General features: G+C 41.5%; 1 protein-coding gene across 12 annotated transcripts in view, besides 1 other annotated feature; it reads right to left on the bottom strand.

Moving 5' to 3' along the window:
- The window catches only part of LAMA3 (laminin subunit alpha 3), a 265,614-nt gene that overhangs the window by 129,320 nt on the left and 112,258 nt on the right, over nt 1–24,036 (bottom strand). For 6 of the 12 annotated variants that reach the window (XM_011525979.3, NM_198129.4, XM_047437506.1 and 3 more), the window contains 9 exons: nt 15,244–15,381; nt 12,644–12,690; nt 11,245–11,344; nt 10,507–10,559; nt 10,174–10,279; nt 9,260–9,359; nt 5,750–5,906; nt 3,372–3,495; nt 1,182–1,324 (listed from right to left, as the gene is read on the bottom strand). In XM_011525979.3, the coding sequence (XP_011524281.1) occupies nt 1,182–1,324; nt 3,372–3,495; nt 5,750–5,906; nt 9,260–9,359; nt 10,174–10,279; nt 10,507–10,559; nt 11,245–11,344; nt 12,644–12,690; nt 15,244–15,381 (968 nt within the window). Of the gene's footprint in view, nt 1–1,181; nt 1,325–3,362; nt 3,496–5,749; nt 5,907–9,259; nt 9,360–10,173; nt 10,280–10,506; nt 10,560–11,244; nt 11,345–12,643; nt 12,691–15,243; nt 15,382–24,036 lie in introns of those variants that run through there. The other 6 variants (XM_011525978.3, XM_011525982.3, XM_011525980.3 and 3 more) reach the window with 2 other exon arrangements.
- Nucleotides 15,258–15,317: an enhancer, noted in NCBI's record as "active region_13164". NCBI's record gives its function as "activates an Ori minimal core promoter by ATAC-STARR-seq in GM12878 lymphoblastoid cells {active_cell/tissue: GM12878}" and the evidence as "EXISTENCE:reporter gene assay evidence [ECO:0000049][PMID:35858748]".

Below are 24,036 nucleotides of genomic sequence, written 5' to 3'. Positions count from 1 at the left end.
GTGAGTCCAACTTTGTACCCGTTACTAGTATCAATGGAATTTTCCTCTGCCTCATTTCTACCATCTGTGAAACATTCTTGAACTTTTTTTTTTTTAAGCAATAAAGCTTCCTACTAAGAAGATGCAAGAAGAGCAGAGACCTTCTGATGTTCCTTTGTTGTCTTGAATGGAAAGAACAATCCCTCATGTTATCCTTGTAAGATCCCAATTTGGAAGGACCTATTAAGATAAGTATTGTCCCTGTTGTATGGAAGAAGCAACTGGCAGGACTGGAAGAGACAGGATTGGAATTAAGCGACTTTCCTAAGATTTGCTAACATGGCCAATAAACAGGGTTGTGCCTGAAGGAAAAGCTTTATGTTTTCCACTTGAGAGCATGAAATCAAGCTTTTCCCAAGGACTCTATTTTGAAAAGACCTTGCCATGAAGCAAAGCAGGCCTTAAAGCACATAGCAAAGAGGGCTGTCTCAGAGAACAGGTTTCATCCTTCCAACTCCCCATGGCTTCTCTGGCTATTCTATTAGGTGTTTGCAGACAAAGCCTTTCCTGAACAAAGAGTTCTCTGTTGTAGGCAATCTGTTTGGTGGGAATAAACCTGCTTTAGGTTTAACACAGAAGAAAGCAGAAAGAGTGTCATGGAGAAGCAGTGGCTCCTGTAGCCTCTTGCTTCTCTTTCCACCCCCAAGAACTTTACTGAAATCCATATCTGCTTGTCTTCTAGGTTATTCTTCCTTGGTTCTACACAATCTCCAGACAGTGTAGACAATAACCAGGTGAAGTTGCTAGTTCTTATGATGTGAGGCAATGAGTGCTAAAGTCTATACTTCTGACTCATGCTGGAAAATCCCATACAAGCTTTGGAAGGGTGAAGCCACATACTCATGAAGGCTTCGCATTTGTTCTGATAATTAAGAGTCTTTAGGAGACCTTTTTTATCTTTTATTTTTTTTGTCCAAGAGAAGCTAGCTGAAAGGATACAAAAGATACTTCAAGTTGATTCCTATGTCATTTGAGGGTGAATGTCACCACAGTTTCCTTAGGTTGGGGCTGAATTGTTCCTGTGTCTAAAACCACCAATGATTGTGATATTTTATGGTCGCTGTGGATTGTAGTCTTGGATGGAACCACTTCTGAGGTAGGAAGAATCCCGCAGGAGCTCTCCATTCAGAACTAAGTCTTACCAGAAGGACTCCTTCTGCCTTAATACAAGCAACCCATATTCCTGGTGTGATTGAAAATGGGTCTGCAAAACCATTTCCAGGGACAGTGACAAAGGCTGGCTCCTTACTCGGCAGGAAGATGATCTCTTTGCTTTGAGCAGCACCTATCAGAAATACAAAGAACTGCTTAAGGCATTTTTCTATCAGTCAGTGTTATGATTTTAGATATTCAGTTTTGAACATTCAGTTTACATCTCAAAAAGTTTAAGATGATATGTACTGATCAGATTTACTGATCTTATCTTTAAAAATTGTACTATGCAAATACATATGTATAAAATAGGCTAGAAAGATACTGATAAGACATCAGCAATGGCTATCTACACTGGGATTATGAATAATTGTTTAACTTATTAAATAAGTATATTAATACTTGTAAACAGTTTAGGAAAGTGCCTTGCATATAGTAAGTATTCAATATATTACATTAGCTACTAAATTATTTTTTCCTTTCTTGTTTATATGTGAGTTTTTTTTAAAGCCAGGGTCCCACTATGTTGCCCAGGCTGGAGTGCAGTGGTTATTCACAGATGCCATCATAGCTCATGACAGCCTCAAACTCCTGAGCTCCAGCAATCCTCCCACTTCAGCCTCCCAAGTAGCTGGGACTACAGCATATGTGATTTTTAAGTTTTAATTTTTATTAATGAACATGCATAAGAAAAAGTTTTACACTTCCGTTTGTTTGTTTTCAGGAAAAAATATGTTTTCTTCTGCATTAAACAAAGAGAGGACCTTCTACAAGAGGTTCAGAAAGAAATAAACTATTGCATCTAAGTTCAATTGAGACTTTTTCTTTCAAAGAATTATCTTCTCCAAATCTTTGGGTTCACTCTTGTTCTACATACATTGATGGGGGCCTACTATGTGCCAGGCTTGGAACTAAGTTCTGGTGACAAGGCAGTAAACACAGTAAGCATGGCCTTTGCTCCCTGCTGGTGAGGACCAGAGAGGAATAAGGACTAGAAGACAGGAAAATGTGGTACAGTTTGGACAGTGGTATTTGGGAGGAGGCACCAGTTACCATGGGACATAACATAACTAGGGCTCCCAACTCAGACTTAGGGGAAAGGTGTCCCGGAGGACAAGGAAACGAAGCAAAATGTATTCCAACTATTTGAGTTAACAGAGAACAAACTGCTGCTGTTATTGTCACGCAGGAGGCAGAGGGGCCTGTTAAGAGTTTGGAATCTGAAGACTTTGTCTACAAACATCCAGCTGTGGCTGGCAATTTACTAAACCTCTCAGCTCTGTTTTCTCTTCAACTCTCCTCAGTTTGCCAAGTTCTTATGATGTGAGGCAATGGGTGCTAAATTACTCTGTGAATGATGAAGTAAGCCTGCTAGTTCATTCAATGGGTTAATCAACCTCCAGCCACGCAAGTTGGGTTGACACAACTCGGAAATGACATCATTTCTTCCCCCATTCTGAATGAACCGTGGATGCTTAACAAAGATGGCGTACATTTTGATCCTAAATTAGATTTCCATTGGTGCCATTTTGTGTCCTTGTAAAATTCCAAATGCTTCTTGGAATCTGTTTCCAGGACAGGTAGAAGCCCTAATACCTTGAAGAACAGACCTGCGGGCCTTCTCTCTGCCTGTGGCGAGGCTGTGCTCTCTTCTCTTGTCCCTCTGCCCTCAGGAATTCCTCATCCCTGAGTCAGGTTTGCAGCTCCCTCCTGGAACTCATTTGGGCTTCATGCTTTACAGCATTCATAGGAAAAATTCCCATCCTCACCCATTTCTCCTCTGACTATTTGGTTGGTTTGAAACAATGGAAGAATTTAGGGCAGCGGGCCAAAATCTCTCAAATAACACCAAAAAAGTGACACCCTCGTCACTGTGAATGAGTTATAAATGAGCTCTGCTCAGTGAAGACATCATAACCCATGGGGTTCAGCCAAGGTACATAGGTTGTTATATCGATTTTTAAAATGACAGTTAAGGACAAATTCAGTAGCAAAACTTAAGTGATTGTTTAGAGAATGCAAGGTAACAAACGACAGGGCTCCTAGAGAACCGTCTAACCAGACCATGAGCCAGGCTTGACATTTTCTAAGGGTGATCAACTTTGTGAAAATCAGAGAAAGTGTTTCACTATTTATTTCTTAATTGAAAAGAGGCTTGACATTTTACCTACGTGCCTTACCCCAGGATGGATAAATAGTTATATGGCCAGATACTGCTTCAGTTCCAGGGTTAACGTATCTCAGAATAACACGAAACAAGGAGCCACTTGACTTCCCTACATTCAATGTTATTCTTACATCATTCTGAAAAATACCGAAACGCCATAAAGCATAGAAAAAAATGGTTAAAAGACATGCTAGCCAAACAGTGACTTTATTCTATTCAAGTGTCACTACTGGACTTGTAATGTACACACATACACACACATACACACTCACACTCAGTCAACGAGCACCGAGTAACTTGTGAAAGATGGAAATAGGCAAACCTAACAATGAATTAAAATCACTTACAATCAAAATTACAGTGAAAACGCACTCCCTCAGCAACTGAGATCCTCTTTTGACCTTTTTGTAATCAGGCAGACAGAGTGGAGTATTAGATGGGCTAGTTTAAGAAAGCCACAGTGACGGAGCAACCACCACTGGCTAGGAAAAATAAAAAGGCAGAAGAGAAGGAAAGGAGAGGGTATTATTTCACACCACCAAAGAGAGACTGCTTCAGAGTCCGCTTCACATACATAAAGTCTAAATGGTCACAGAAACCAACGGTGGCCAAGGAAAGGTTAAAGACTCCAAATACAATAGTGGTAACATCTGGGTGTAACTAAAATATGCCTATTAAGTTGTATGATGTTTTATCTCAATTCCTTATGCAAAGAAATGATGGCTTTTCAACCTAGAGGAGGGGTTCTGTTGGTCCCCAGGGCCTGGGCTCACACAATATTCTGTAAACATTGTGGAGCCTGGACCCTTGAAGGAAAGAGTAGACTATTTTAATTCTGAACCACTGACTGCATGTCCAGATTGGGCTGTGGCCCAAGGAAACTTCATGAAACTTGGAAATTCCCAAATCAGTGGTTCTTTTAGCATTTCCCCCAACTTCTTTGTTTAAAAGGAAGGGGATATTTTTTTAAGCGAGATATTGGTGACAATAAAGACTGACTTTGTGCAGAATCACTTGCTCTGAAAGCAGGAGCTACAGGTGACCCACACTGAGGAACTCCTGCTGATCCTCACAATTCGTCTGAATTCATCTTTAAGTGTTAGTTTCAGATGGAAAACAAATATGCAAAAATCTATTAGGAGCAGAGTAAAGTAAGTGGTGATGCTGGGGACACCATCAAGGTCCTCTGACCAAAATAACTTTATCAGAAAATGCGTCATTAGAGATGAATTCCTTTGTGTCCACCAGCTATTGTGTGAAACTGTAAGCACCTGTGAGAAGGTATACCCTTTGATTGGGTTGTCAGTCATTCACATCTTATTATGACACAATGGAATTTACTGCTTGTTTTCTGAATAGTGAAGTAATGTCAGGGAACTAAAGAAATTAAATAGCTGTATTTGGGGAGTGGGGGCAAAGAGTGAAGTGTCTTAAGATCCTAGGTACCATTTCAGAAAGGCCGCTTGGATGGGGGACTTTGGCCAGGTAAAAAACAGCATTAGAATCAATGAGGGGAAGGGGTCTGAGAGTACTGTGGCCCTGTTCCAGCTTCTCTACAGGCTGACTGGGGTAGCAACAGCAAGCAGCAGTCTTGGATGCGCTAATGAAAAAGACTGTGTTACCATGATCGTTAATTTACCTCTCATATTCTGAATTTCTCCACTGAGAAACAGCTTGAAGAAACCAACTCAAAGACAAATTCTGAGGACAAAGCTACTCAATGGCTATACAGAATTTTTTAGTTATAAGTAGCAAGACGTATAAGTTCTAAAGGTAAACAAAGAATGTATAAATTCCCCTACTCATTCTAATACAAAGCCAAGATAGATGGATGCAGTAGAGAAGAATGAAGGAAAGAGAAATATGGAAAAGAAAAATGAAATAGCACTTAACTAACAAACATTCATTATTTATCTTAGTTTCCACGTACATAGCAATTCAAAGTTTAAAAAAAGCATCAGCCAAAAATTAGGAACACTAGCTTTACTGGAATTACTTAAGCCAACTCATTTTTGTTTTCCACAAATGGCTTTAAAGAAAACTGTCCCTCACATTCTAGTACAGCCTAACGTCATTTAGGAAACTTCCCCCTTCTATAAAAAGTCTCCAGAGATAAACACTATTTTTCTTTAATCTCTTAATTTTCTGATTTGGTAATCAAATTAAAGTAACAATGAACTATGAAATCCACACATATGCTTATCAGTTAATATACAGCCCTACCCCAAACCCCAGGTTTAACCTAAACTCCAATGCCAACCCATAATATAGAGAAAAAGAATCGTGGAATCAGTTCTGGGGACAGGTCACCTTTCAGGGGGCTCCCTGAGACTGGTGTGGGGAAGTATCTGAGCTACTCAGCCATGAAGCTGCTCTCTTCGGGTTGCGTACCTGTACTGAGGTCATTTGGGCATATCCTCTCCAGCTAAACTCAGGAAATGCCAGCGGATCAAATCCAAATCGAAGGTCTCTCCCATTAGGTGTGCTGCCGTCTTCAATCTCATACTTCATATGATGCAAATCTGGGAAATAGTAGTTGTTTTCAGGCCTTTCATAATTAAAAAGTAAACACATACAGGAGGTTAGGTCCATAGATCATCTGAACATCTTTTAATCACAATAGTTACTATGAAAGAACTCCACCACATTGACAGAGTACATTAAATAAAGGACAAATGAGAAAGATCTTCTGCTCTTTCTCCAAATTATTGCTTTAATTCACATAAACATTCACATAAAACACACTCAACGCCTACTAATTCCAAGCATTAAGATGAGAAAATCGTTTAGCACAAGCCATAGTGGTAGCATCCTTTAGTATGTTCTAAATAGTTGCCAACAATTTAGCAAAGTCAGATTAGGTTATTTACTGTTTATTTATTTAATCACTCATTCATTTATATATTCATTCACTCATTACATAAATATTAATGTCTATGTGCCAGGCACTCTTGCTAAGGACCATAGGTATAATGATGAACATGACATAAAATATTTCATATGCTAAATTTACAAGTTAGATATATTTTCTTGATATGTTATTTTTTAATCATTAGAATGACTCTTCTATGCCTTGTTTTCTCTTAAACTATATGCCTATTAATGAATTCTTTTCAAGAGCTCAGCTGTGGTAGGCACAGAGAAGTATCCAAAATATTCCAACATTGTGTGGCATTTAACAATCTACTTAAAGTTCTCAAAAAAAAAAAAAGACACTTCGCCAATCCAGTCACAAGCTAATAGCAGTTAGTGGGATTAATGCCATAAAGATGAATTTGTTTAAGGAAATAAAAGGCCATGCTCCTATACTGCAAATAGAATTAGGAATGCTTACAACTTTTCTGGAAGCAATTTACAAAGATCCTTAAAAATGTTCACACATATTGACCCAGTAATTCTACTTCCAGGAATCTGTTCTAAAGAAAGATTTTGTAGATAGTCAAAGAATTAACATAAAAGAATGTTTAAAACAGTGAAGACCTGGAAACAACATAAGTGTACAATTATGAGATAAATTATAAAAAAAAATACATAACCATTTAAAATGTGAAGGCTAATGATAATAGGAAATATTTACAATATGATGTGAAGTAATGAATGTGAATTATATGAAAAAATAGAATGCTAATTTTTAATTCATAGACAAGGTCTAGAAAAAATACACCAAAAATATTAAAAAGGGGTTATCTCTGGGTAGAGAAATGAAGATTTTTCTTTGCCTTTTTACTTTGATGAATTTATTAAAATTTGTTCACTGGACATATATTACATTTATCACCACAAGAATTATTCAGAAAATAAAGCAAACGTGAATTCTTTCTACACTTGTCAGAAAACCTAAAAATTCTCTGATAAAACCAGAGCAAACATGTGGGGGAATTTAGTACAAAAGGATGCAAGATTGTCATGTTGGAGACAAGGTGCTCCGGCATCCACACTGTTGGTTTGCTAGCCTTTATTTCAGTTATAATTTACCACTAAATCCAAGGACACGCTCTAAACTTGAAGATATATGTATGTGTGCATGTATCATGTAAAAAGTTAATATTCTTGCCTCAGGCTGGGTAACTTAATTCCTATTTGATTGCATTATTTTATGCTGAAAATCAGTCAATCACCTACATAGTTGGAAGAAGAAAAAATGTTTGCTGGTTAAGTAGCGGAGAAGCTCATTTTATCAACACCAGGGTGGAGCAAGATGAAACACAGGTGGAAAACATTTTTTTATTTTTTTAAGACGGAGTCTCACTCTGTCACCCAGGCTGGAGTGCAGGGGCACTATCTTGGCTCACTGCAACCTCTGCCTCCCAGGTTCAAGCAATTCTCCTGCCTCAGCCTCCAGAGTAGCTGGGATTACAGGTGTGCGCCACCATGCCTGGCTAATTTTTTGTATTTTTAGTAGAGACAGTGTATCACCATGTTGGCCAGGCTGGTCTTGAACTCCTGACCTCAGGTGATCCGCCCACCTCGGCCCCCCAAAGTACTGGGATTACAGGCGCGAGCCAGGAAAACGTTTTATGCAGGCATTTACAAAGCTCCCCTGGCCCATGGGGAGGCTCAATGGTCTTCAGGAAAACAAACCTACAGACATGCCCTCTTCACAGATCTTTTACTCCAAGCCCCCAACTGAGGGAAAGTGCGGCTGGGTTACTCTGACTTTTTTTGTTTTTATTAAAGACAAGGTCTTGCTCTGTCACTCAGGCTGTAGTGCAGTGATGCAATCATAGCTCACCGCAACCTCAAACTCCTGGGCTCAAGCTATCCTCCTGCCTCAGCCTCCTGAGCAGCTAGGACTACAGGCATGTGCCACAGTGCCTGCCTAATTGTTGTATTTTTTTTTATAGGGATCGGGTCTCACTATGTTGCTCAGGCTGGTCTTAAACTCCTGGCCTCAAGCAATTGTCCCAACTGGGACATCACTCCCAGCCTGCTCTGACTTTTAGAATTCAAATGTTGGAAACATTGAGGGAAAGGAGAGAATCACCTTGCTAAATACAATTTACCTCCACGACATAAAAAATTTCTTTATAAATCTGTTACTAATGCAAGTAGTGAAGGGACCTGAGATTCAGAAGTTACTTTTTTTCCCTTCACAGAGGAAAAATCATGGATGAAACATCAAGGTTTCAAAACGTTTATAAATGGTAAAATATAATGGCTTAAGAGATGGAACAATACCATAGTTCCTATAGTTCCCCAGTCTCAATCTCCACCTCATTCCCTCGCTCCTATAGTTCATTGTCACCTGCTTCTGCATGAGACAAAGTACTTCTTCCCCACTTCCAAAGTTTTCTTACCCTCTACCCCCACCGCAACCCTGGGGAACAACTTTGGCCTCTCTACTTCCTCACTCCTGGGTCCCAAGAGGGAAACAGGAACTGAACCTTATTAGCCCAGGCACCTGGGTGTGTGGTGGCACTCCCTCTTATGCCTTCTCTTATTGACCCAAGCACCTGGGTATGTCGCACTGCCCCCTCTTATTCCCTTTCTTATTGGCCCAGGCAACTGGGTGTGTGGCACCACCCCCTCTTATTCCCTCTCTCCCTGGAGCGGGCCTATCTGTGGGCTCCTCCTGCTCCAACTTGCACATGGAAGTTGAGCCCTGAGAACCCACTTCATGCTTCCAGCTCTCGTCTTGCCCACCTGGTTTTTGTACCTGTGGGAATTTTCAAGCGAAAGTACTTCATGGTCTACACAGTAGAACAGGCTTTATGGGCAAAGTAATCTCCTGTTTTAAACAACTCACACACAAATGTCCAGATTTCAATTGACATAGGACAGCTTCCCCTGACCTCGATCTTTAGGGCTGCTTCTCTCTTCTCCAGAGCTGTAGCACAGGCAGGAATGTCTAAGACCATCTTTCACACCCTGAACATGGGAAGAAGCCTCCCGAAGACTCACCGCTGGCACACCTTTCCCACGACATGCTCTCGGCACTGGCACACTCCCGAGGGCCCACTGCACATGGAGGACAATGCCCCACCAATGTCACACTGACACCCTGAAAGCCAGGAAACAGCAGCAGTTATACCTTAAACCATCTCCACACTGAGCGCCTCCCCTGCTGTACAAGAAAGGAAAACTGACCATCCCAGTGACACAGTGCCTGCCTTCTTTCCTCTGCCACATCTGTCTGGCAAGTGTTTGAAATCTTGGAAACTCCCAAACCAAAATGGTGTGTCCGCGCTTGGAAATCAGATTCAACCACAAAAACCAAAACCAAAACCAAAACAAAAACAAAAACAAAATTAAAATGGTGTCTTTCCAAAGGTCTGCTTCTAAGTTGGAGGCGGCTACTATAAGCCAGCTCAAATGCTGTTGTCCAATGCAAAGACAACAGCAGCCCAGGAGTAAACGCGCTTCAGAAACAGTGCTGTTCTAAAGAACATGTGATAACCAGGGGCCGAGCGAGAGATTCAAGAGTAGCCTTGCGGGGCACCTGTCCTGCAATTTCATTATTTAACACAACACTGTCTCTAAAAATCTGATGCTAGCATTTTTGATAATATAAAATATATCTTTAAAATTACTAAATATTGATGTTATTTATAAAACTAACAGATGCCCTCCCATCCCAGTTATGTTTCTTATCATTAAACCCACAGTGTGCTGGTAGAAGAGAAGTAGAAACAGCCCCACTTGCAATTTACTAGTTTCAATGTAATCAATGTTTGGCCAAATTCCCTGGACAGAATGTTTCAGGGCCATTCCATCAGAAAGTCTGCGTGAAGATGACAAACTCAGAAGAAATGTTATTTAGACCATCTTTGTCCATCAACACTGTGCTTTGCTCAGGGCCCAATGGACTTATTTACCTTGACACCCAAAGTAATTGCTCTTTTCCAAAGCAAAATATCCATCTTCACAGGTGTCGCAGGAATCGCCACCCACATGGGACTTGCAGTGACAGTCACCATCTCCCTGCAGAACAGTGAGCCAGATGACAACATTTGATATAATTACAGAATTCACTAATCTTCAAGATTGAAAACTGCCTCACTGTATAATAGGAAGCAGTGTAGCCAGGATCTGGAAAGGATTACCATGCACTGTAGAATGACAGAAGTACTAACACACGCCCCCAGAAACCCCACAAGCAGTTGCTGTAGCATTCTGCTGTTGTCACATGAAAACTCAGCCCACTTTACCTGCCTACACTCTCCAGTTCCACTCACTGTTCCCGCCTTATGGCACTTGCATTCTGTGGAGATAAGAGAGCATCCTTGAACTAAGGGAGACACAAAAGACAGTTCCTGGCTCTGGGAACATTACACAGCTGCAACACAACGTGTGCAGTTGGCCTTGCCAGCGCAGTTCAACAGAATGAGAGTTTGCATCGCTGAGGCCTAAAATTAGACTGCTTTCTGAAGTTGGCAGAACAGACCAATCCACACTATCCATTTACAAAAAGTAACAGCTAGTTCATGGCTACTTCATGACAAAAGCTGCAACATCATGGGATTTTTGAATGATTCCAATGCCGAGGTCATTACTGATATGCATGCATGAAAATACACTCTATTCAAGGTTATTCAGTATCCTTAACTCGGTGTTTTTAAGTCCTTATACTGGCTCTGATATAAGCATAAAATTAAAATTAAACCAGAAAAAGTAAATTATAAAAACAAGGACATAAAAACCATTTATCAAGTAGCTGCCTTCTCAAACAACAAAATACATACAGAAACAGGATAGAAATCCCTTGCTAAGATTTTGAAAGTGACAGAAATTCTGTCAAAAGTGGGGGGAAAACATCAGAACATTACATAGAATCTTGTCAAATTGAAGTGATTCAACAAATAGCTCTTTTGTGGATTTAGTCACTGAGGCAGAGAAAATTAAGAGAACATTATAATATAGTAAATTATGACATATAAGAAACCTACCTGAACATCCACTGGGGTTTTCTTTGTCCAGATTCCAATATAACAGTTTGCAGCGGCTACAAGTAGGACCTTCAACATGAAGCTTGCATTGGCAATACCCCTTTGAATGAAAATCAAACAAACATTTGACATCTTGGAATTAAGACATGTTTTCAAACCTGTGCGTGAGCAAAGACTTGTCACAGAAACATATTTTGGTCATGAAAAGTAATTAAGTGTATCCAGGGGGAAAAAATACTGGGTTGATTTCAACAGTCTGCTAATTGCTTTTGTTTATTTTTATTCATTTATTTGTTATGCATGTAATCCGCATTTGTGGTTAAAAAGAAACTGGAAAATAAGGAGAAAGAAAATTTAAAAATCACTCTTATTTATAACATTGTCAGTGTCTGTTGATACTGTTACAGCATAGACTACCAATTTAAATAGAAAAAATGTCTGAATATTTAACATGTTGAAAATCAGTAAAGAATTGTTTATCTGAGAGTGCTTTTGTAATATGCAAGATTCACAGCCTTGCATCAATGTCATCAAGGCTTATGGGAAGGATGGCAGAACCTCTTTCACTCCATCCATTCTGTGCCTGGAAGTCGGCATCTCTAGGCTCTGAGGCCAAGAAGACAGACAATTTCTAAATTATCTCAGAAAATTGTTCAGAATAGGCCGGGTGTGGTAGCTCACGCCTGTAACCCCAGCACTTTGGGAGGCTGAGGCAGGTGGATCACCTGAGGTCAGGAGTTCGAGACCAGCCTAGCCAACATGGTGAAACCCCATCTCTACTAAAAATACAAAAATTAGCCAGGTGTGGTGGGGCGTGCCTGTAATCCCAGTTACTCGGAGGCTGAGGCACAAGAATCGCTTGACCCAGGAGGCGGAGGTTGCAGTGAGCTGAGATCGCGGCACTGCACTCCGGCCTGGGCGACAAGAGCAAAAAAAAAAAAAAAAAAAAGAAAGAAAAGAAAAGAAAAAGAAAAAAAATGTTCAGAATACCATGGTATTGTGCTTGGAATAATATAAAATAAATTGTAATTATTTTGTACACAGCCAACTTTATTTAATGTGTCCTTGGCCATTGATTTTCTCAATGTTATTAATTATGTTTGTCAGACTTACATGCAGGGCTCCACAGAGGCAACACCCTCTGAGTAACCTACAAACCTGCAGTAAGAGTTAAACTCTAGGACTCCAGAGTAACAAGTTTAACTAAATCTTATTCTTTTGTTTTTGAAAAAAAAAATCACAAAATCACATATGCTCTTTGAAAAACAACAATGACCTCTTTAAGCAATTTAGCCTTGGGTCTTATTTTAATTTCTGGAAGTGCCCACACTGTTAGTCCTTAATATGCATGAGAATAATAGAGATAGTTAGAATTGCAACCCTTTTATAGTCTACTTACCAAATTGGAGTTGATGGTACCAGCTGGGTCACAAGCACTGCTGGAACCTGAATATGATTCAGAAATTTTTAAATTATCTGGTAGTTTGTTTTTCTCTTTGTTTTGATGTTTCAAGTTTTAAACGTTTTGTTTTCAAAAATAGTGTATCTACATTTATATTTTCGATAGATGTGTGGCAAAGTCTGCATGCAATTCATAGTCAGGCATCTTGAATGACATTTATGGTCCTTAATCCCCAAATTACCTCTTTTGCCACTGAACAAATCCCTATCCTGTCTACTCATGACAGTTCACTTCTAATTGATGATGAAGGAGGAGATTAGGGAAAGATTCTAAAATTTTGAGCATCATTAGTATTGTCCAGAAGAGGGCAATATTGTACCAAGAGACTTTTAATTGCCCATTTAAAAGACGTTCTAGAATTTCTAAGTACATCTTTAATTATCACACCTCCTTGTTCCCACCCGTACTAAAGTTATTTATAAAATCAATTGGTTTGTTTTCCTGACTTAGTATAACACTACAAACCAAATATAATCTCTCTTCAATAAATTGGGATCTTGCAATGTTTCAGTATTACAATTACACAGTGTTTGAACTGGGTAAGTCTGTTCTGAGTCTGGTTTTTCAAATCATTTAAATAAATCCATAATAGGATCTTGTTTGCTTATAAATTGTTCCTTAACCCTATTGGCTTTGTTTGCTTCTGTCTGCCTCAGCTTCCCCTTGATGATTTTCATTCTCTCTCTCACTCTCTTTTTTGAGACAGGGTCTTGCTCTGTCTTCCAGGTTGGAGTGCAGTGGCACGATCATAGCTCACTGCAACCTCCAATGCCTGGGCTCAAGTGATCCTCTCACCTCATCCTTCTGAGGAGCTGGAATGACAGGCATGCACCACCATGCCCGGTTATTTTAAAAAATATTTTCTAGAGGCTGGGAGTGGTGGCTCACGCCTGTAATCCCAGCACTTTGGGAGGCCAAGGCGGGCAAATCACGAGGTCAGGAGATCAAGATCATCCTGGCTGACATGGTGAAACCCCATCTCTACTAAAAATACAAAAAATTAGCTAGGCATGGTGGCACATGCCTGTAATCCCAGCTACTCGAGAGGCTGAGGCAGGAGAATCGCTTGAACCCGTGAGGCAGAGCTCGCAGTGAGCTGAGATCATGCCGCTGCACTCCAGCCTGGGGGACAGAGCGAGACTCTGTCTCAAAAAAAAATAAAATAAAATCAAAAATAAATAAAAATTCTAGAGACAGGATCTCATTATGTTGCCCAGGCTGGTCTCCAACTCCTGGCCTCAAGCAATCCTCCCGCCTCAGCCTCCCAAAGTGCTGGGATTACAAGCATGAGCCACCCTGCCCTCTCTTTCTTTTCTGATGTTCTCCTGTTCCCTGCATTTTTCCGTAATACCCAACACAAATTTCCAGCTGTTTGTTTTCCATGCCCAACCTCGGGTTCCTCTCCAGGACACAAACATTGCCATCTAGCCCTGGGATGACTGTGGCTGCTCAGCTTCTCTGCCAGGCAGCCACAGCACTTCCTTCTGCTCCTGAGGCCCATGGAGGTGAGCAGACCCATGCAGGATGCCCTCGCATCCTAGGGACCTTCAGGCCTTTTGAAAGGCAAGCACCCACCTCTGACTGCCTGCTGCAACTTCCACCCTCAAGGAAACCTGGTCTCCAGAGGATTCTGGTTAGGAAGATTCTGGGAAATGAAGTCAGTCCTGTCTTCAAAGCGCAGGAAGGGGTCTGAGAAACCACATTCTCCTGATGGATAGTCTGGGTCAGCCTTCCACAAACACCTCTTCACAGTAGCAAGAGTTCTCCGAAATTGACAAGAGCTACTGGTCTGCTCTCTGGCTGCACACACCAGGGAGCCCAGGGAAATTTGTGGACATCTCATTTCTGTCCCCTCTGCCATGGTACATGGGCAAGCCTTAATCTCTCATATCAACAGAGGGATGAATACCAACCACGTCCCACAGCTGCAGGCTTGGTTTTCATCTCCCCCTCAGTGCACTCTCTCCAAACTGCATAGACTCCAGTGCATCCCACCCGCCTTCCCCAACACTTGGGCTGAAGTACGATGACACGGTCCCCCAGAAGGCCAGAGGAGGGCAGGGAGAGAGGCCCGAAACACAGCAAAGGTCCTGCTAAGCCTGCTGGCAAGTGGATCTGTTAGAAACATTACAGTGCTGCCAGCATTAGCACCACAAGCTGGGAGCGAAAGAAGGCATGATGCCTCGGGACAGAAGACAACAAATGGCCCCTTTAACTCAAAGGAGTCACCTATGCCACAATGCTATCCACAGAAAACTGACATGTGAACCAAGAAACCCACATGTATAGCACATGGAAATTTACATTATTTTTAGTTAAAAAAATCATTTCTGGATTCCTTTGAGGGTACATATATGATATACGTGTTTTCAAACCAGACTTGAACAGGTGAGGAACCAAGCAGACTAGATCTGTGAAAGCAGGATGTGGGGGTGGCCAGTGGTGAGTCTGTGGGGGATTTGCAGGCTTCTCTGGGAGGCTGGCTGCACACACTTCAGAGAGGAACCAGCCCTCTAGCAATCTGCTGACTTTCCTACCTTGGCAGTGGGGGAAATCATAAGCTCCTGAGAGACACCTGTCACACCGCTGTCCTGTAACTCCTGGCCGACATTCACACTGTCCAGTCACTGAGCTGCAGGGCATCTGGTAGGATCCAAGGGCTGAACACCAGCAGGCTGGATGAAAGAATTCAATCAGACTTAGGCGGGGGTTGCAGGTATGGGAGGGGGAAGAACCACGTCCCGGAGCAGAGCATGAGGGTGGAGCCAGAAAGACCCAAACACAAATTCCAGCTCCACTTCTTATGAGATCGGGAACCTGAAACAAGCCACTCAACTGCTCTAAGCCTCAGTTTCTCCTTCCTTAAGTGGGAGTGACACTAATTTTTATTTGATAACTTGTTGTGAGGATTGCATAAGATAATACTTAAAAGAGCTTGGGACAATGCCTATCATAGCGAGCACTCAATAACTGCTAGTTTTTATTGCTGTCATGAATTTCATATTCAGCAAGATTTGCAGGTGCTGGGTGATGGTTTTGGGGATTCTGCTCACCTACAGAAACCAGTATTTGTAGGAGGAGGATGCAGGGAACAACTGATGGGGGATGTGACTCACTGGAGGGCCACTTTAATTCCATATCCCACTTGATATTCCATATCAAGTGCAAGCCATTCCAGGCCAGATCAGCCTACAACTGTCCCTGATCTTCTCTTTCCTCCTCTCTTTATACCTCTTTTCTCAATGTCTAGTGTAGTTAAGTAGTCATGGAAAAAATGGTGCAGGCAACATTGAAAAGGATGGGAAAGGCATCCTAGTTTCCTCCCTCCCCCAAGCTGTTACCATGATCTTTGGCTAAGTGATGAATAAACACGTGTGGATGGAGAGAACAGATGCTGGCCATTCATTCTCCTCTTGGCCCCCTTCCCACTGGATCAGGTCCCTACTAGTCTCTATGAGACTAGACTTCTATGGGCTGGAGTTGCACAAGGTCGTCCCCATTTGCATTGCAAAAACCCTTCTTCTGGAGAGGGATGAGCAGTGGAATTGACCTGACTGACTTCTCCGGCTGAAGAGTTCTACATCTTAAGAACTGAAAGAAACTAGAGAGAGCATCTCATTGAATCCCATTATTACATGGTGAAGTTCAGAAGTTAAATGGCATTTTTAAAGTCAATGGATTAGTCTCTAATAAAGGGCTTCAGTCTTTGGAGTCAGACACATCTGGATTCCAGTACCAGCTGTGCCACTTAACAGCCCTGCAATCACGGCTAGTTGCTTAGCTTCTTTAAGCCTCAGTTTCCTCTTCTGTAAACTGGAGCTGATAATAGCACCTACTTTATGAAGTTATCAGAGAATCATCAGCAATAAGGCATTGAGCACGATGCTTCGCACAGCCGAAATGCTCAGGAAGTGTTCACACTTATTAACATTATTATTCTAATTACCCAAGTCCCCCAGTGCTTGGGGAGGTGCTCTTTACACTTTCCCACACTGAATTAATGAAAATCAATGAATTAGTATATCTGACTTCCAAATTTTTATCCAGTGTAGTGTACACAGTAAAAGATACAACCTTGTTTGCAAGGTTTCAAAAATTCCATGCTAGTTGGAGCCTTAGGAAAGAAAAGATTCATAAGGTAAAGCCCCAGTTCTGGTAATTTATTTACAGGTAGCCTTGGAATCTAAGCCTTGGCGCATGGGGCCCCCACAGGGACGAGACCATGTTATTTTCATTCTCTGTGACAGCCCAGCCCATGTATGGTGAATTTCTCTGAAAGTGCTTTTTAGTAAATGATGGTGAACGACAGAATTTACCTGTGTTGTCATCAGAAACGTAAAAGAAACTCTCACTGATGGAGGGGAACTCGGCTAGTTTACTCACTTACAAATTACCTGGGAGTTTCAACAGGCTATGTGACTTGTTCAGAGAGACACAAGTACTTGCAGACCCAGAGAATTTACTATCATTTCACTTTCCTATTTTACAGTCATCCATCCAGCAGACATTGATTGAAGGCCTACTGTGTTCCAGCAGCACCCTTGCTAGGTGTTACGGTGGAGGTAAATACAAAAACACATATAGTTAGCCTTCCATATCTGTGGGTTCTGGATCCATGCATTCAAACACAGATCAAAAATATTCAGAAAAATACACAACTAAAAAATAACAAAAATAATACAAATAAAATAATAATGTAATATAACTATTTATGTAGCATTTACATTATATTATGTATTATAAGTAATCTAGAAATTTAATTTATATAGGAGGATGTGTGTAGTTTATTTGCAAATACTGTGCCATTTTATATCAGAGACTTGAGTATCCTTGCCTTTTGGTGCCCATGGATGGTCCTGGAACCAATCCCCCATGGATACTGGGTGTTGGGTGTTGACTGTATTCCCTGATCTCTAAGATCTAAAAATCCAGAACAAAGACTAGAGAATGACTGACATAGCATAAAGCACCCCCACAAGACACTACCCACTCCATATAAAGCGTGTCTAATGCTCCCCTAGCTATTGGCAGACAGAAGGACAAACACTCAGATCTCCTACTGCCATTTCCACCTGTCTTCTCTCATGGCCCATAGTCCCAGCTGGCCTGTCTGCAGAGGTTAAGTCTCTACCTAGTGGTAGAATTCTGAGGAAATGTTCTTGGGTTCTACAGTGGTTAATTTTGTGTCAACTTGGCTAACTATGTTGCCAAATGGTCAAACACTAGTCTAGATGGTGCTGTGAAGGTATTTTTTAGATGAGAGTAACATTTAAATCAGTAGACTTTGAGTAAAGCAGATTATCTTCCATCATGTGAGTGGTCCTCATCCAATCAGGTGAAGGCCTTAAGAGAAAAAGACAGATGTCCACCAAGGAAGAAGGAATTCTGCCTACAGATTGCCTTTGGACTCAAGATGCAAAATCACCTCTTGACTGCATCTCCAACCTGTTAGCCTACCTTGCAGATTTTGGACTTGCCAGCCCCTACAACTGTGTGAATCAAGTCCTTAAAATAAAACTCTCCCCATCCCTACACACACATACACACACAGACACACACACATACACACACACACACACACACTCACACAATATATATTATATGTACATAGGTAACTAGATAAGCTCTATCTACGTACCTATCTATCTATCTAGAGAACCCTGACTAATACAGATTTTGGTACCAAGAGAAGTATTCTTAGAGGACCAGAATTTTTTAAATTCATAAATACAGGTAGGGTCTCACTATGTTGCCCAGGCTGGTCTCAAACTCCTGGCCTCAAGTGACTGTCCCACATTAGCCTCCCAAAGTGCTGGAATTATAGGCATAAGACAATGCCCAGCCAGGAACAGAATTTTAAGAATAAATTCTCTGAATTGGTTTGGGGGTTTCTGGAATTGGTTCTCTAAATGACTAGATTTAGAAGCACTAATGACTCTAGTTCCAATAGTGAATAAAGCACTGATAGTCATCGGTGTGATGTGGTAATAGAGATACACAAAAATATCACTATTAGATACTCCTAATCAAATAATTATGATAGGCAAGGTTCTGGGTGACCACGTATTTGATAACGTAGAACATTTCCGTCAAACTAATGGGCATAATGAACTTGGCTGGTTGCTCCTAATTGGGCTGGACAAAGTGGGAAAGAAAAGGAGTTGAGGGATTTGAATTCCCACTCAGATGCAGCATAAATGACCTGAAAGTTTCTATGCCTTCCTAGAAAGAAATCCTTATCTCCTACAGCCTCAGAGCTGAGACTGCAGAAAACCAAACCAAGAATCTTCATCCTGCGAGGTCTGAATTGCAATGCAAGTTAAATTCCAAACCTTGCAGAGTATCTGCTGTTAAAGTGGGGGCATAGATTGGGAAGGAATAGGACTTTGAAAATTGCTTTGGGGACATATGGGAAGATCATGACGAAGATGGGGACACTGAACCCCTAAATTCCAACGAGTCTTCTTTGTCAGAAGAAGCAACTGCACCCCCCAACCCATGTTTGAGCAGGTTAACCCTGCTTTGCCCGAGAAAACTGTAATGGCCTCCCCTGAGGCAGCTGTCATGGAAGACCCCACTGATTCTCTTCAGGACCCACCCCCATCCCACTTTCCTTATCAACTGATAACTGGACTCAAATCCCAGCAAGCCCTGAAAGGTGAAGTACAAAGTATGACCCATGAGAAGGTGCGCTACACTTCAAAAGAACTAAATGATTTTTCCAATTTAAACAGACAGACAGCAATTTGAGGAATATCTGTGAGAATAGATGTCAAGGATGTGGAAACTGCTGCCATCAAGTTGGAAAACCTAAGTGCAATGGGGGTAATTGGGCCCCAGGTTGGTGGCAGCCAAGTGGTGGCAATAAACCACCAAAAGCAAGGCGGGTGTGGTTACCATAATGGACAATGGAGTTGAAACAGCAGTCAAAATAGTCTGACTCAGAGACCTATGCTGACTAGTTGATCATGGTGTTCCTGGAAGTGAAACAGCTGGGAAGTCTAGCAAATTCTGACTTGCTTTGTAGAAGTGGAAGAGTTGTAGGTCAAATGAACAAGTCTAACTTGAAACATAAAAATAGAGTCATATCCCCTCAATCAATTACCAGACCTGAGCTGGTTTACAGACCCAGAACTCTTTGAATGAAGGGGAGAGTAGGTACTATTGTGGAAGAACTCCACTCCACCGCCAAACATTTATAAGGTAAATCTTTCTCCCAGCCTTTTCCAAAGGGACCTATGGCCTTTTACCAAGGTGACTACACACTGGCAAAAAGGAAATAATCAGATCTTTCTATTCTTTCTATTAGTGGACATCAGCTCTAAATTGACACCAATTCTAGAAGACCCAAAATGTCACTGTGGCCCTCTAGTCAGAGTATGGGTTTATGGGGGTCAGGTGATCAATGAAGCTTTAACTCAGGTCCATCTTATAATGAGGGCAGTGGGTTCCTGAACTCAGCCTGTAGTTATTTCCCCAGTTCTGGAATTCATAACTGGAATATACATCCTCAGCAACTGACAAAATCTTCACATTGGTTCCCTGACCTATGGAGTGGAAGTTATTATGATGGAAAAGGCCAAGTGGAAGCCATTAGAACTGCCTCTACCTAGGAAAATAGTACAACCAAAAGCAATACAACATTTCTGCAGGAATTGCAGAGATGAGGGCTACCATCAAAGACTTGAAAGATGCAGGGGTGGTGATTCCTACTGCTTGCCCATTCGATTCATCTATTTGGCCTGTACAGAACATAGATGTATCCTGGATAATGACAGTAGATTATTATAAACTTAACCAGGTAGCAACTCCAATTGCAGCTGCTATACTAGATGTGGCTTCATTGCTTGAGCAAATTAACATATCACCTGACACCTGGAATGCAGCTGTTAGTCTGGCAAATGCTTTTTTCCTTCACACCTTTAGTAAAAACCAACAAGCAGTTTGTTTTCAACTGGCCAGGCCAGCAATATACTTTCACTGTCTGTATTAGGCTATTTTTATGTTGCTATAAAGAAATACCTGGGGCTAGGTAATTTATGAAGAAAAGAAATTTAATTGGCATAGTTTTGCAAGCTGTACAGGAAGCATGGTGCCAGCATCTGCTTCTGGTGAGGGTCTCAGGGAACTTACAACCCATGGCAGAAGGTAAAGGGGAGCCAGTACATCACATAGCAAGAACAGAAGCAAGGTAGGGGGAGGTATCACACACTTTTAAACAACCAGATCTCAAGTGAACTCAGAGAGAGATCTCACCCACTATCAGGAGGACAATACTAAGCCATTCATGAAGGATCCATCTCCATGATCCAAACACCTCCCACCAGGCCCCACCTACAACATTGGGGATCAGATTTCAACACGAGGTTTGGAGGGGGCAAACATCCAAACTATATCACTGTCCTACATCAGGGGTCTATCAACTCTGGTCCTGTGTCATAATTTAGGTCACAGGGATCTTGATCACCTTTCCCTTCCATAAGGCATCACATCGGTCTATTACATTGAGGACATTATGCTAATTGGAGCTAGTGAACAAGAAGTAGCAACTACTCTAGACTTATTGGTAAGACATTTGGGTGTCAGGAGGTAAAAATTAAATGCAATAAAACATCCAGAGTCTTCTACCTCAGTTAAATTTCTAAGGGTCCAGTAGTGTGAGTCCCAGAACAAGGGAAGGCTCTGCAGCAGGTCCAGGCTGCTGTGTAAGCTGTTCTGCCACTTAAAGCATATGACTGAGCAGATCTAATGGTGCTTTTAAGTGTCAGTGGCAGATAGGGATGCTTTTTGGAGCCTTCAGCAGGCCCACATAAGTGAACGACAGTGCAGACCCTTAGGATTTTGGAGCAAAGTCCTGCCACCGTCTACATATAAGCCATCCTCTGCAGATAACTTTTTTTTGAGAAACAGCTTTTCACTTTCTACTGGGTCTTAGTAGAGACAGAAGGCTTAACCATGGGCCATGAAGTCACTATGTGATGTGAGCTGACCATTATGAACTGGGTGTTATCTGACCCACGAAGCCATAAGTTGGGCAAGCACAGCAGCATTCCGTCATCAAATGGAAGTGGTATACATAAGATTGGATCCAAGCAGCCTCTACACAAGTAAGCTATGCAAAGAACGCCACACTCCACACTCCTGCTACATTCCACATCTACAGCATTATGGTGAGTTCCTTGTGATCAGTTAACAAAGAAAGAGAAAACTTAGGCCTGTTTTAGACCAGGTATTGCAAGATATGGAGGCATCACCTGAAAGTGGACAGCTGCAGCACATTTGTGCCTTTCTGGGACATCCTGAAGGACAGTGGTGAAGGGAAATCCTCCCAGTAGGGAGAACTTTGAGCAGTGTGCTGGTTGTTCACTTTGCTTGGAAGGAGAAATGGCCAGATGTGAAATTACATATTGATTAATGGGCTGTGGCCAATTCTTTGACTGGATGGCCAGGGACTTTGAAGGAACATGATTGGAAAATTGGTGACAGGAAGATCTGGGGAAGGGTCTGAGTGAAAACCCTCTCTAAATGGCTAAGAAACATGTCCTAGGTGAATGCTTCCCAAGTAGACAGGAGGATCTGTTCTGTGGATACCCGGCAGCCTCTGTCCCATCCACTTCTATCATTGTCCAGTGGGCTCATAACAAAGTAGCCATGGGGGCAGGGATGGAGTTTATCCCTGGGCTCAGCAAAATGTACTTCCACTCACCACAGCTGAGTTCCCAGTCTGCGAGCAGCAGAGACCAATACCAAGTCCTCAATATGGCACCATTCTCCAGGGTAATCAGCTGGCTACCTGGTGGCAGGTTAATTACTTTGAACTGTCCTATCATGGAAGGGGAAGTGTTTTGTTCTTATTGGAATGGACACTTACTTGGATACAGAAATTCCTTCTCTGCATGCAATGCTTCTGTCAAAACTACATTTGTAGACTTACAGAATGCTTTATTTACTGTCATAGTATCCACATAGTATTGCTTCTGATCAAAGAACTCGCTTCACAACAAATGGAATGCAGCAGTGAGCCCATGGTCATGGAATTCACTAATCTCACCACTTTCCCCACCATCCTGAACAGGTGGCTTAATACAACAGTGGAATGGCCTTTTGAAAACTCAGTTACAGTGAGTTTTCACTGTAGGTGAAAACTACTAGGTGGCAGTACCTTGCGGGGCTGAGGCAAGTTTCTCCAGAAAGCAGTATCTGCTCTGAATCATTGTACAACATATGGTTTCTCTGATAGCCAAGATTCACGAGTTCAGGAATCAAGAGGTAGAAATGGGAGTGGCATCACTCACTATAAACCCTAGTAATCAACTAGCTTCCAATCCCAGCTGCCTTCTGCTCTGGTGGTCGAGAGGTCTTAGTTCCAGAGGAAGAAATGCTTCTACCAGGAGACGTGACGATCATTCTATTGAACTGGAAGTTAAGACTGCTACATGGTTTCCTCATTCCTCTGAATCAACAGATGAAGATAGAAGCAATTGTGTTCCACTAATTACCAAGGGGAAAATGAACTGTTCTTCAAAAATGGAGGTAAGGAAGAATATGTCTAGAATACAGGAGATGACTTAAGGTGTCTCTTAGTATTACCATGTCTTGTGATTAAAGTCAATGGAAAACTACAACCCAATTCAGGCAAGACTACTGATGTCCTAGACCCTTCAAGAATGAAGATTTGTGTCACTTCACCAGGTAAAGAACCATGAGGTGCTTGCTGAGGGCAAAGGGAATATGGAATGGGTGGCAGAAGAAGGTAGTTACAAATACAGTTTGAGTATCCCTTATCCGAAATGCTGGGACCAAACATGTTTTAGATTTTTTATTTTTTCAGATTTTGGAATATTTGCATTATACCTGATTGGGCATCTCAAATTTGAATATTCAAAATCCAAAATTTTCCAATGAGTATTTGTTTTGAGCATCGTGTCAGCACTCAAAAAGTTCTGGATGCGGGAGCATTTTGGATTTTTGTATTTGGGATGCTCAACTTATACCAGCTATGACCATGTGACCTGTTACAGAAATTAGTATTTGTAATTGTAGTGAGTATTTCTTCCTATTTTGTTATGAATATGTTTTTTCTGTATATGCGTATGTTATATGTATGTAAAACAAAAATCTTTGTTTTCCAACTGAACAGCAAAAAATCAAATAATGTGATTTAAAAGTGGGCAAAGGATATAAATAGACATTTCTAAAAAGAAGACATACAAAAGGCCAACAAGTATACGAAAAAATGTTCAACATCACTAATCATCAGGGAAATGAAAATCAAACCCACAATGAGATATCATCTCCGTTAGAATGGCTATCATCAAAAAGACCAAAAA

This window comes from Homo sapiens, chromosome 18 (assembly GCF_000001405.40).
Source record: "Homo sapiens chromosome 18, GRCh38.p14 Primary Assembly".
In the NCBI taxonomy this organism is placed as follows: domain Eukaryota; kingdom Metazoa; phylum Chordata; class Mammalia; order Primates; family Hominidae; genus Homo; species Homo sapiens.
The sequence above is the reverse complement of the archived record's forward strand: the minus strand, read 5'-3'. Positions and strand labels throughout refer to the sequence as shown.